The sequence below is a fragment of the Homo sapiens genome, chromosome 8, assembly GCF_000001405.40.
Source record: "Homo sapiens chromosome 8, GRCh38.p14 Primary Assembly".
Classification (NCBI taxonomy): Eukaryota; Metazoa; Chordata; class Mammalia; order Primates; family Hominidae; genus Homo; species Homo sapiens.
Window position 1 is genome coordinate 60,283,464 of NC_000008.11, and position 14,070 is coordinate 60,297,533.

At 40.5% G+C, this 14,070-nt stretch overlaps 1 long non-coding RNA gene across 1 annotated transcript in view, besides 1 other annotated feature; it reads right to left on the reverse strand.

Annotated features, from left to right (window-relative positions):
• Positions 1,397-2,043: a transcriptional cis regulatory region, noted in NCBI's record as "candidate enhancer chr8.1767 targeted for multiplex CRISPR interference". NCBI's record gives its function as "positively regulates CA8 gene expression with high confidence in K562 cells {active_cell/tissue: K562}" and the evidence as "EXISTENCE:mutant phenotype evidence [ECO:0000015][PMID:30612741]".
• Positions 1,502-14,070, reverse strand: part of LOC105375864 (uncharacterized) — a 79,123-nt gene continuing 66,554 nt past the window's right edge. Inside the window, exon 7 of the long non-coding RNA XR_001745925.1 lies at positions 1,502-1,669. This is a non-coding gene — a long non-coding RNA (uncharacterized LOC105375864). The remainder of the gene's footprint in view (positions 1,670-14,070) is intronic.

Sequence of the window (14,070 nt, forward strand, 5' to 3'; positions counted from 1 at the left end):
CTGAATTGTTCATGATTATTTGTAGAATGTAACTCCTGTATGCAAGCCTAGGGTTCCCTGTCCAGCCACATATGAGCCAATCCTCTAAGCACCCAAATATTCAATTAACAGCCTTAATTGCTTTGAGACTGTGGGGTTCAGATTTTTGCTAATTAACAGCACCTTAAGACCTTCTCTTCTCAGGTCCCTGCACTATATTACCACCAAAGATGGAATTTCTATTTCTAGTTATTATAAGGTGTCTGTCACTAAAAAAATCTAAACACACAGATCAAAGATATAGGGCAATTCTTTGTTTTACAAAATAGAACAAGCACATCTAAATCCAATACCAGAGAATCTAAAAATATTCATACTCTGTATTATGAATGTGTCTTCCACATATTCCTCTATAATTTTTAATAGGCTTTCAGCCTAATATTATATTTGATCCCTTAAATTAACTTTATATTGCTCACATTTAGTGCTTGCATAGCTAAGACCAAACCATATTAGTAGAACAATTTATTAAAACTAAGACCTATATAACTAACTACCATTTGATACTAAGAGAATATAAATAGAAATATCTAAAAGGGACAAACTAATCTAGATGTCAGAGGAACCAAAGTACTAAGGTCGCTTCCCAGAGTCCACAACCTAGACAGCCCGCTCCTGTCTTTCCTCACTGCTTGTCTACCGTACCAAAGCTTTCTTATTGTATCGGTGAGTCTAGGCCCTAGAGTCATAAATTTGACCTCCTCTTATGTGCATCTTATGCTCTGGGATCACCTCAAGGGTACAGCTAACATATGCATGTCACGTGGCTCCTATACAAACTGTAATTCATAAACTTCAACAGCAATGAATTGGGTTCCTTCATGTGCGCTGCTCTGGACTAGGCACTGTGGGAGAACCAAAAATAAAAAATAAAATACTTCTTCTGCTCTCAAGGAACTCATGGTTCTCTGGAGGGAGGAGAGGGGTAAATAATTATAATACAAGGCAATACGCAATATTAATATGTTAAATAGAAATGCAGGTACCACTACATCTAAGGAAGATGGAATTTTCATACTAATGGGAATGATTTAGAAAAGTTGAACAAGATGGCATTTGGGGCAAACTAGAGGAAATGGGCAGAGTTTGGGTGGGCAGCATGTGAGCAAATAACATTCCAGGTGTGAACAAAGATGCCGAATCATGCAAGTGCTCATTGCGGATCTATTTGCTCCCTTAAATGCCATCTGTGACTGCCAAAACCAATTCAGATACACTAAAAATAAGCACTTCTCTAGGCTTATGTCTCAGGTAAGGCACTTTTTCCTATGGTTGTTTAATTCCTTATGTCTAGTTTTTCTTTTGTCAGGAAAGACAGCAAAATTTTCTTCATTATATATATTTTGATTTCTGAAGGTTTCAAACTTTGTTGATAAAAAAATTTACTTCTTCCTTTTAAATTACTTTTTTCAACTGATTAATCTTTTATTTCACCTGCTTAAAGTTACATTTACGAGCCTCCTTTTTTTTGACCTCTTCTTGGTCTTTTATCTTCAGAAACAAACGACTAGGGCTCCATGTAGTCATTGGAGATGACATCATTGTCTCTATCATTTGCTGCCCCTTCACTGCTTGACCATGTGACTTCTTTGACGAATTAAATATGAGTAGAGGTGGCACGTGCCATTTCCTAGAAGAAAGATTTAGGCGTTATCAAAAACAGACATAGTAGCCCATCAAGTAAAGGTGAGTTCAAGGATAATTTTTATTTGCTCAAATGCTGTTTTTGCCTTTATCTTTTTCTTCAAAGAAAAAAAAAAAGTATCTCTGGCCTGCAAAGAAACCAAACAGTCTAGTACAGTGCTCTTATCTTCACCTCACCAATTTCTTGGACGCCCTAACCCCAGCTAGGGCCCTTACCACTTCATGGCAGAATGAGAAAGCCCTTATCCATAGAAAATCCCCATCTTCTCTAAGGAACATGGACCGCAGCTCTCTTCCCCTCTCTCAGACCATGCGAATTATGCCTGAGGCCCTACATGAATTCAGCACCAAAATGACTTATGCTGAAATAGGAATATTTAAGATAATTACATTGGTGACTCCCAAGTCACCAAAAGCTCTAGGGCACCTTCTGCCAAACAAAACCCCTTATGTGTTTAAGCCACAGAGGTTAAAGTTACCTCTTCTTAGTGCTTTCACAATGCCCTGTATAGATCTCTAACCCTGAAGTTAAGATTGTATTTTAAATATGTATTTTATGACCTTCTCCTCTAAACAATGAGCTCCCAAAGAGCAAGGCACTAGGCACTGTGGGAGAACCAAAAAAAAAAGGAATAAAATACTGCTTCTGCTCTCGAGAAATTCACAGTTCTCTGGGGGAGGAGAGGAGTAAATAATTATAATTATTAAAACTATAATACAAGTAAATAATTATAACTATAATACAAGTAAATAATGATAATACAAGAAATATGTTAAATAGAAATGCAGGTACCACTACATTTAAGGAAGATGGGATTTTCATACTAATGGGAATGATTCAGAAAAGTTTCTTGGAAAAGATGGCATTTGAGGCAAACTAAAGGAAATGGGTACAGTTTGGGTGGGCAGCATGTGAGCAAATAACATTCCAGGTGTGAACAACGATGCTGCTTTGTGTGCCCCCATGTAGCACATGGTAGGCACTTAGGAATTCGTTTCCCTGTGCCATCAGCCATACAGTAACCTGATTAGCCTGGATAAATATATTAGTGCAAATAAAAGTTGTGGTTACTAAGGTGGAAGCTTTCAAGGCACAGTAAAGCCACAAAAAAGGGGAGTGATCAAGTTTACCTGGTGGCAGATGTGTCAATAGGGGCTTCATAAAGGAAGTGACTTGGAAGCTGAGCCTTGGGAGATAAATAAGTGCTGCTTTACCCTCAGAAACGGAAGGGGAGGAGGTAAAAAAAAAAATACGTTCCTCAAAGCATGATGTAGACTGATAAGAAAAAAGAAGGAAAAAAAGAAAGACATTCCAATAAAAGAAAAAACAAAAGCTCACATATAGAAGCCAGTGTGGGTTCACTTTTTTGATCAAGTTAATTTTCTTTTTTCCATGGTATTAATAAAAGGGAAAACAACATATTGAAATAGTATGTCTATGTTTGTTTTAGTATTTTTTTAAAACATGTTTCAAAACAATAATGACATGAGATAAAATACAAAGCAGATGGAATGCTTAAGTCAGTGCCCGTTGTTGGCAGAATGGCAATACTGAAAATGTATTGGACCCTTGTTGACTTTAAGAGAAAATGTATTGGACCTTGTTGACTTTAAGAGAAGGTGCCAAGTTAGAATAGCCTCAAGGCCACACCTATACCTTAGTTCCCACAGCTCACTCTGCCCTACAGCATGCTGTTGGCTGTCAAAGATGCTGCTATGCCTTTTAGGCAAGACAGCAAACCAAAGCACAGGAAAATAAAAACTTGAGCGCTGTGGTCACCTCCAAAGATGGCTGCCGTAATTCCCGCCCTCAGTAGGCATGTGCTGTTCTTCCGGTTTACAGGGGAGACTATTTCCCCTTGAAGTGGAACCACAGCTGGTTTTATGACTTGTTTCATCTCCATTGGACTGTCATAGAGTGACACTATGCCAGTTTGGGGCTGAACCTTTAAGAGGGCTGGACAATTTCTCTTTGCTCTCAAAAACCGGTCAACATGTAAGAAATCCTGAGACCACTATGCTGTGAAAAAACCCAACCTAAGCCAGCCACAGGGAGTGAAAAGACATGTGGAGGAACATTGAGGCACAGTCACGTGAGTAAAGCTCTCTCAGATCTTCCAACCCAGTTTAGCCACCAGCTGAATGCAGCTGACACTATGTGGATCAGATAAAATGCCCATCAGAGTGCTGCCTGAATTCCTGGCCCACAGAATCATGAGAAATAATAAATCAGTGTTTTCAGCCACTAAGCTTTGGAGTGGCTTATTATGCAGCTAAACAACAGAAGCAACACTTCCTATGAACCAGATATCATGCCAGACACTTCCCACAGATTATTCTCTTTAATTCTCTTAAGAAGCTCAATAATCTCATGCAGTGTTCAGATGAGAAAATGGAAGTTTAGATGCGTCCCCCACCACAGACAGAAGCAGTGAATGGTCTGAGAGGTCTGTCTCACTCCAGAATCCATGCTCCTGGCCACCAAACCCTACTGCCTTCAGAGAGGGTGAATTCAGCCAAGGCACTCCATATCCACCAAACGCTGTTGGGAATCAAACACCAACTCACATGCACACTCCAGTCCAATTGCATCCTTCCTGGGTAAACCATGAGATATGTTGGACCAGTCTTGGCTGCTATGGTTAGAAGGGTCCAAAAAGGAGGAATAAAGGAAGCTAGGTTGGAAAACTACAAGAGAAATTTTTTTTTTTATTGGCAGACTTTCTTTTTCTCTTTTTTTTTTTTTTTTTTTTTTTTTTTTTGAGGCAGTCTTGCTCTGTCACCCATGCTGGACTGCAGGGTGCGATCTCAGCTCACTGCAACCTCCGCCTCCTGGGTTTAAGCGATTCTCCTGTCTCGGCCTCCCAAGTAACTGGGATTACAGGCACCTGCCACCACATCCAGCTAATTTTTGTATTTTTAGTAGAGACGGGTTTCACCATGTTGGCAAGGCTGGTCTTGAACTCCTGACCTCAAGTGATCCACCTGCCTCAGCCTCCCAAAGTGCTGGAATTACGGGCATGAGCTGCTGTGCCCAGATGACTTTCTTTTTTTGAGCAGTTTCTTATTAAAGAAAAATTGAATGGAAAGTACGGAGTTCTCATACACCCCCTCCCCTCACCCATTTCCCCTATTATTAACATTAGTGTCATACATTTGTTACAATTGATATAACAAATATTTATACATTATTATTAACTGAAGTCCATAGCTTACATTAAAGATCACTGTTTTGTGTTGTACATTCTTTTTTTTTGTTTTTTTTTTTGAGACAGAGTCTCACTCTGTCGCCAGGCTGGAGTGCAGTGGTGTGACCTCGGCTCATTGCAACCTCTGCCTCATGGGTTCAAGCGATTCTCCTGCCTCAGCCTCCTGAGTAGCTGGGACTACAGGCACGTGCCACCACACCTGGCTAATTTTTTTTATATTTTAGTAGAGATGGGGTTTCACCATATTGGTCATGCCTGTAATCCCAGCACTTTGGGAGGTCGAGGCAGGCGGATCACGAGGTCAGGAGATCGAGACCATCCTGTGTTGTACATTCTATGCACAGGTACAGAAAAGAGAATCAGTGGCTGGAATCCTATGTTGGAGAGATTTGTTCCCAATCTAGCCCTCCTGTCCAGCACATCTTAGTCGATCTCTGCGTGCTACAAGTCTGGCCTCTCCCCGCCTGTCCTCGTGGCCCCTGTCAGTTTTAGCCCATTCGCTAGCTTTGCTGCCTTGAGTCTCATGGCTCCCTGTCCACCACTTACCTTAAACCTCAGGCTTGTACCACTCAGACCAACAACCCAGGAACTGATGTCTGTTGATAGGTTGCAGAGTTCTCTCTTATTGGAGGTTGATTTACTAATTACCTATTATATATTATGTGTGCAACATGATTTAGCTAATTAATTCATAATAACATGACAAAGGTATTTACAGATGAAACTGAAACACAGAGAAGTGTTTTTCCCATGATCACACAGCTAACAAGTGGAGGAGTTAAGATTTGAACCTAGGTCTAACCAGCTTTAAAGCCAGAGATCCATAACCCTTTCCCACCTCACACCTCAGAGTCAGCTTTTAGTCACTATTGTGCCAAAAATCCCATTCAAAGTGTCATTAGTTATTCATCCATTCACATTTGCAACCAATTCTCCATGGGATATGAATGGTTAAGTGCATACTTAGCAATCTAAAAAGCTACTCCTCAAAAACAGAAAGCATTCAAGATGTTTTATGCTAAATATTTCTATTCCATAAAGAGTTTGTGTAATGAGGAGGAACCAGGGACACTAATGAAATACACAAGGCAGTAAACATTTCTAATGCTAATGGAGCACAGCATGTTTACATTATGATTGGAACCCCATTGATTAGACTTCACTGAATATAACTTTTAGCATAATTATCAATGATGAGAGACAGTCAAGCTTGGTGCTGAGTACATGCTGAGCACTAAAGACTGACTACACTGCTTTCAACTGGTCCTCAATTATTTAAGGGGCATTAACACGACATGATAGCTTGATATTTCCCACCTTGACAGTGGAGATAACAACAGAAAAATGTGCTAAAACTATCGGGGAACCTGCCCTGATAGTCATGTAGGTTCTTTTCTGTTTTCCCTAAGCATTGGCCAGTTTGAGAAATAAAGGGGCAGAGTACAAAAGAGAGAAATTTTAAAGCTGGGCATCTGGGGGAGACTTCACATGTCAGTAGGTTCCGTGATGCCCCACAAGCCACAAAACCAGCAAGTTTTTATTAGGGAGTTTCAAAAGGGGAGGTAGTATACGAATAGGGTGTGGGTCACAGACATCAAGCACTTCACAAGGTAATAGAATATGACAAGGCAAATGGAGGCAGGGCGAGATCACAGGACCACAGGACCAGGGCGAAATTAAAATTGCTAATGAAGTTTCAGGCACCACTGTCATTGATAACATCTTATCAGGAGACAGGGTTTTGAGAGCAACCGGTCTGACCAAAATTCATTAGGCAGGAATTTCTTCTTCCTAATAAGCCTGGGAGCGCTATGGGAGACTGGGGTCTATTTCACCCCTACAGTCTACAGACCATAAAAGACGGCCACACCCAGGGGGTCATCTATAGACCTACCCCCAGGCGCATATTCTCTTTCCCAGGGATGTTCCTTGCTGAGAAAAAGAATTCAGCGATATTTCTCCCATTTGCTTTTGAAAGAAGAGAAATATGGCTCTGTTCCTCCCGGCTCACTGGTGGTCAGAGTTTAAGGTTATCTCTCTTGTTCCCTAAACATTGCTGTTATCCTGTTCCTTTTTCAAGGTGCCCAGATTTCATGTTGTTCAAACACACATGCTCTACAATTTGTGCAGTTAATGCAATTATCACAGGGTCCTGAGGTGACATACATCTTCCTCGGCTTACGAGATGACAGGATTAAGAGATTAAAGACAGGCATAGGAAATCACAAGGGTATTGATTGGGGAAGTGATAAGTGCCCATGAAATCTTCACAACTTATGTTTAGAGATTGCAGTAAAGACAGACATAAGAAATTATAAAAGTATTAATTTGGGGAACTAATAAATATCCATGAAATCTTCACAATCCACGTTCTTCTGCCATGGCTTCAGTCGGTCCCTCCGTTTGGGGTCCCTGACTTCCTGCAACAAAAACTACATCAGAGATTTAAGTAACATAATTATCAGATATTAAGAATTATTTAAAGTGAACCTCTCCAAAATAAATCTAACTTCAAAAGTCTGGGAGAAACACTTATCTTATTAAATGTATGAATGTCATTAGCATAATATAATATGTTGGAAGGCAGAGTAGCACACTGGTTTTGTCACTTAATAAGTTTTTATCTTGATCAAGTTATTTAACGTCTCTTTGCCTTAATTTCCTCACCAATTAAATGAGAACCATAATAGTACCAAACCAAAATAACTGTTGGGAGGATTAAACGAGTTAATATAGATAAAGCACTTGAACTAGAACAGTCAGTTCTACTAGAATGCTTGTTTTGAAAATGCAAATTTGTTCCAATGAAATTGATATATTAGGGAACAATTTGAGCACAATGAGACTTCCATGCTTGTTTATGCCACCTTCATTTATTGGAAATACAGAAAACTGCAGCCAGTTGAACTGGGTCATGCAGGGAATGCACAAAACGCGCACATATACACACCTCAAACACCTGCCAACTACCTCAGTTCACTGTGTGCTGTGAGCCATCCCCCATGCTCATCAGGTGCTACAACTGCTGGTCACATTTCAGCTAACCCTCCTTCTATCCCTTCACAGTAACTCACAAGGTACAGTGATACTCACTTCCACAGGCAAGCATCAGGTCTTTTCCTAGTTAAAATGGATACTTATTTCAGCATTTATACCTTTCTTAACCATTGAACATGTGTAACAAACTACTGCCATTTTATTATGTTCCTTTTTGTTGTTGTTTTTAACGTGTACCTAGTGAGGTTTTTGACTGTTGTGCCCCTAAACTCATTTTCCCCATAAACCCTGTGATTGTTATTGCCAATTTTGCATAGTGCAGTAGTTTTCGGGAATGCGTGTTACATTATAGCAAAACTGACTGTCTCTGGCATGTAATAAGTACTAAGATAATGTAATTATTATTTTTATAGCTATTATAAGAAATGGTTGGTGTATATTATCTGTATATTTTCTTAGATCATTTCATGTTTGATTTAATTTTTATTATCATTAGTTTGAGTACTGTTCATATATTTTTATTGTATTCATACTCAGGAATGTCATGATGATTTATACATTTGTGACATTGCTCAAAGTGTATAAAACAATGCAAGAATCATTTGTCACTTAAGGATTTCAAACATATTGAGCGTCCTAGTAACATATCTATATCCCTTAGAGACCACAGATAAAAATAAGACCTGCTGGTAATCAGCAGTAGCTCTAGGTACTTGACATCAAGATAGTCTGGTTTTAGACACCCACATGCATTTGGGACTAGTTATCTCTAAGCCTCCTTAACCCATGATCACATAAATAGGAGATGATATTTACATTTCAAGAGTGACAGAGGTAATCAGCGGGTCCATCATGGAGCTGAGGTCATAGGAAGAAGGCCAGAAGATCTTTTGAGATATGAGCTTTCTGCACATTGAAGGACACAATGAGAATACAAACACTTAAGTCCTGGGGTTCTTCTGGGCAGTCTGTCAATACTATAACGACACTGCTCTACCTAAGCTTTACTGACTTCAGCATGCTCAATCATACATCCATTCATCCAGGTGATATTTATTGATTAGGTACTCTGGAAGACACTGTCCTTTTTTTTTTTTTTTTTTTTTTTTTTGAGACGGAGTCTCGCTCTGTCGCCCAGGCTGGAGTGCAGTGGCGCAATCTCGGCTCACTGCAAGCTCCGCCTCCCGGGTTCACGCCATTCTCCTGCCTCAGCCTCCCAAGTAGCTGGGACTACAGGCGCCCGCCACTACGCCCGGCTAATTTTTTGTATTTTTAGTAGAGACGGGGTTTCACCGTTTTAGCCGGGATGGTCTCGATCTCCTGACCTCGTGATCCGCCCGCCTCGGCCTCCCAAAGTGCTGGGATTACAGGCGTGAGCCACCGCGCCCGGCCGACACTGTCCTAAAGGCTTGGGATACCATGATGACTAGAATTGGTCTTTGTGCTCAAGGAACATAGAACTTTGAAAATAGTATACCCACACTCAAAATTCTTCAATGTTATAACCATGAGAAACAGGCTTTAGAAATCATATAACCATTGGAAAATGTCCTATAGATGGGGGGCTTTTGGGTTTCACACAGAGCCATCAACAAGGAAGCCTGATATACAGAAGCCCTGACTGTAAATCAAAAAACAACCTCGTGTGCCTTTATTCTGAGAACTGCACACACATGTTGTTTCATCCACATTCATTCACTAAGACATTAGCACTCTCATCAACTCACAACTGTCAAACAAATAAAAGTCAATATATATGAGGTTTCCTGAACGTTGTAAATAATTATGCAAATGCAAATTAGTTTCACAACTAAGTTGCTGCTCAAATCACATGTCTAAAACTAAACTCATTGCCAGCTCACCCCACTTGCCCTCACACCTTGCTTTTCTTATGTTCTTTGTTGCAGCTAGGGAAGCTACCATTCATCCAGTCTGGAAAGCATGGAATCACCCCATACTTCTTTCCCTCACAACTCCAGTGTTTCTCTCTAATTCAACCCTGCTAATTCCAAATCATTTCAAAACATGTCGCACAACCCCTGCCTTTCTTGTTATCCTCACAGTTACTGCCACAGTTAAAAATCTATCCACTCTCACCTGGACGAGTGCGCCCACACTCCATCCTCCATTGCTCATCTTTGATATCAATGGTAGAGTTCACATCATATCTCTTTCCTGATGAAAAATCGCTGCTGACTTCCTGCTGCATGCAGCATGTAAGATCCCCTCTCCTGAGTACAGAATAAAAGGACCTTAAAAAAGGATAGCCAAATCTTGCCACTTAGCCTCATTAAATTTGCTCTTTATAAGTGACCCAAAACTCCAACCACACAAGACTTATTAACTACAAAATATCCAAGGTTCTTTTCATGCCCACCATGCCTTTTTGCATAATGTTCCTTCTTTGATCCATTCCCTTTCCCTGGGTAGGTTACAGGAAGGGGGGATGGCAGGGGAATAGGTGCAGGAAGACTCAATATTAATGAGTCTATGTGTCTCTTTTAGGGTAGGAACTGATCAGAAACCTATCTCATTTATCTTTGCATTTCCAAGATCTAGTAGGTTCCCGCCTATAGTAGCCACTCAGTAAAGTTATAAACTAATGACTTTAAGGCACCCTTTCTATCTATGTCTACAGAGTTGCAAAATAATCAAAGACAATCAATGGTTCACAGCCCCAAAAGAATCACAGTACCTTGGGAGGGACCCTTGGACAATGCCCAACTTCCTATTGAAAGAACACCCAAGCATCTCTTTTGCCTACTTTAAATGTCTATCGTGATTTTCCTGACAGAAGAGATCTTGAAGATACCTTAATTTTAAAGGCAGTGCTCAGAAATGTCATGTGATTTTCCCAAGTTTACACCCCTGTAGAAAGCCAAGACCTGTGGGCAGAGGATTACCCAGGTGCCGAGGTAAGAGACTGAAGGCACAAACTGTTTCAGTATAATAAAGAAAATAGTTAGAATAAGAATAGTCATAATACAAATTAGATATAGAGATGATCATGGACATTATCAATCATTAGTATAGACGTTATTAATCATTAGCTTTTAATATTTCTCTTTGTTGTGTTACTAATATAACTAAGGAATAACCAGCGGGTATAGGGTCAGGTGCTGAAGGGACATTGTGAGAAGTGACCAAGAAGGCAAGAGGTGAGCCTTCTGTCACGCCAGCATAAGGGCTTCTTGAGGGCTCCATGGTCAAGCGGTAATGCCAGTGCCTGGAAAGGCACCCGTTACTTAGCAGACTGTGAAAGGGAATCTCCTTTCCTTGGAGGAGTCAGGGAACACTCTGCTCTGCCAGCTTCTTGTGGGAGGCTGGATATTATCCAGGCCTGCCCGCAGTCATCTGGAGACCTAAACCCCTCCCTGTGGTGCTGTGCTTCAGTGGTCATGCTCCTTGTCCACTTTCATGTGCCTCCCATACTCCTGGTTCCTCTTTGAAGTTCTTAGTGGATAGTGGTAGAAGAAATAGTGAAAGTCTTAAAGTCTTTGATCTTTTTGATAAGTGCATAGAAGAAAACGCTGACATATGCTGCCTTCTCTCTCTGCTTCGGCTACCTAAAAGGGAAGGGCCCCCTGTCCTATGATCACATGACTTGCTTCACCTTATCAATCACTTAGAAGATTCACCCTCCTTACCCTGACCCCCTTGTCTTGTATGCAATAAATAGCAGCACGCCCAGCCATTCGGGGCCACTACCCGTCTCCACGTCTTGATGGTAGTGGTCCCCCGGGCCCACCTGTTTTCTCTTTATCTCTTTGTCTTGCATCTTTATTTATTACAATCTCTCATCTCTGCATACGGGGAGAACACTCGCTAAGCCCCGTAGGGCTGGACCCTACAAAGACCAGGTTCAGGTCTCTTTTTGATGCTTAGCATTTTTTCCACTGTCTGTAGAACCATTCAGCATTTCTCTAACTAGAAATTCCCAACCTTGAATTTTGGCAAAGTTTTCTTTCCTTTTCTAATTGTTGCTCTCTGGGTTTCCAGGGCTTATTCTGACAATACACTTTCTTGGATACTCTTAACTGGGACTCTGTAAGAGTTCTCTTGTAATTGGTGGGGTTACCCTAGATGTTTATAACCCAATGAAAAATCCAAATACTTCCAGTAATGACTATAGTAGCTTCACTGTCTGTTTTTCCAACAGTCTTATGTTTTACTAACATCTATAGAGCTGTGTCTTGCCCAGAAATACAGAGTATTTTAATCTATACTTTTTTTTTTAATTGAGATGTAGTCTTGCTCTGTCACCCAGGCTGGAGTGCAATGGCATGATCTCAGCCAGGCGCAGTGGCTCACACCTGTAATCCCAGCACTTTGGGAGGCCAAGGCTGGTGGATCACCTGAGATCAGAAATTAATCTATACCAATTCTTAAAGTCATTGCAAGTGAATGAAATTCAATAACTGTAGTATGTGATTTCTGTCAGAAAAAAAATTAACTCATTTTATGACCAGAAAAGAAATCTCTCACAATGAAACTGACTGGGCCAAAAAGGTATTGTGAACAGTCTTATGACAAGTTAAATGCTATTCCAAATTTTCAACATGATCCTGCAAATTTAACACAGATTATGAAAGGGCGTCTTGTGGACCTCATTCAGATTTTCTGAGATCAGTGACTATAATCTGTGTGAAAAATTAACACAATGGCCCCAAATCAGTGTGCTCTTAAGAAGAATTTCTTTAAATGAATTAGAAGTGATTCTAAACTGTGGGAGGTGGTGAGAGCCAAGAATCATAATTTTTAAAAGCTCTTCCAATGGATGTCAATATATAATAGGACTAGGAGTCACTGGGCTAGAAATCAACGAACTAGATAGAGCAAACCTCAACTAAACCATCCCACAAATGTTTCCCATTTCCCCAGAGATGCCACAAAATTTTAAAGGTTATTTAAATAAATTCAATGAAAAGCCTATAAACAGTCACAGGAAAATCACACTTCACACCCAGGCATGGCAAGGGGTTAGGGCAGGTGCAGGGGTGAGCACATCAGCACCAGGTAGTGCTGGGCTTATTTACTCTCTTAACCCTCAGAACAGCTCTGTGATGTAAATGTCATTATCTCCATTTTAGAGATGAGGAAACTGAGGCTCAGAGAATCTATGTGACTTTCCCAACATAACAGAAACAATAAGTGGTAAAATTAGAATATGTACAAAACGTCTAGCTTCAATGATGGTGACTTCCATTACTACAATCATAGAATGTTGTGACTCCAGGAACATGATGAACAATCAATAAATAGATGCCAATTGATGCTGACAAGCTAAAATATATTTTTTAATGAATTTGACATTTAAAATGTTTCAGATCCCTGCTGATATACAGAGTAGAGAATGAGGATGCTAGCTCATTTGACCTCATCAATTCTATTCTTGACTACTGCAATTGCCTCCCGACCTGTGTCCCTCCCTTGACTTCTCTCTTCATCCCAAAATCCCATGCTCTCAAAACTTCCATGCCCTCCACCCAGGATCTCAATTGATTGAACCTACCTCTTATAACAACCAGTGCCAGGAATTTGGTGGTCTCCAGATATACTGTGCATTTTTAATTATGTGAATTACAATGTTGTTCCCTCAGCCCAAATGTAGAACGCCTTTCACTCCTCTTCCCATTCTTCCCCTCCTCAGCCTACCTTCATCCCTCATTGCCTATAAAACACTGCTCAAATTATTTCTTCTTATGAAGCCTTCCCTGATTCCCACACTTTACAAGGCATTTGGTATTCTTGAAACATTTGCTTCGTAATCATTGCTTATATGTCTTTCTCTGGCACTTGAGTATACACTCCACAAAGACAGCAACTACACTTTATTCATCTTCAAATCCCTAAGACCTAGTAAGAGTCAGGCCCATAGTAGGCACTCAGCAAATGCTTATCGACTAATTCACATAACTAGATCTTACTATTTAAAAAAATAACTGATAACAAATGTTTGGGAAACTCCATACCTTTGACTCTCTAAAATGAAAATTCTGGGTCTACCGAGAATCATTTAGAAAGCTTTCAGGGCTGGGCACAGTGGCTTATACCTGTGATCCCAGCACTTTGGGAGGCCATAGCAGGCAGGTCCTTTGAGGTCAGGAGTTTCAGACCAGCCTGGCCAACATGGCAAAACCCTGTCTCTACTAAAAATACAAAAATTATCTGGGTGTGGTGG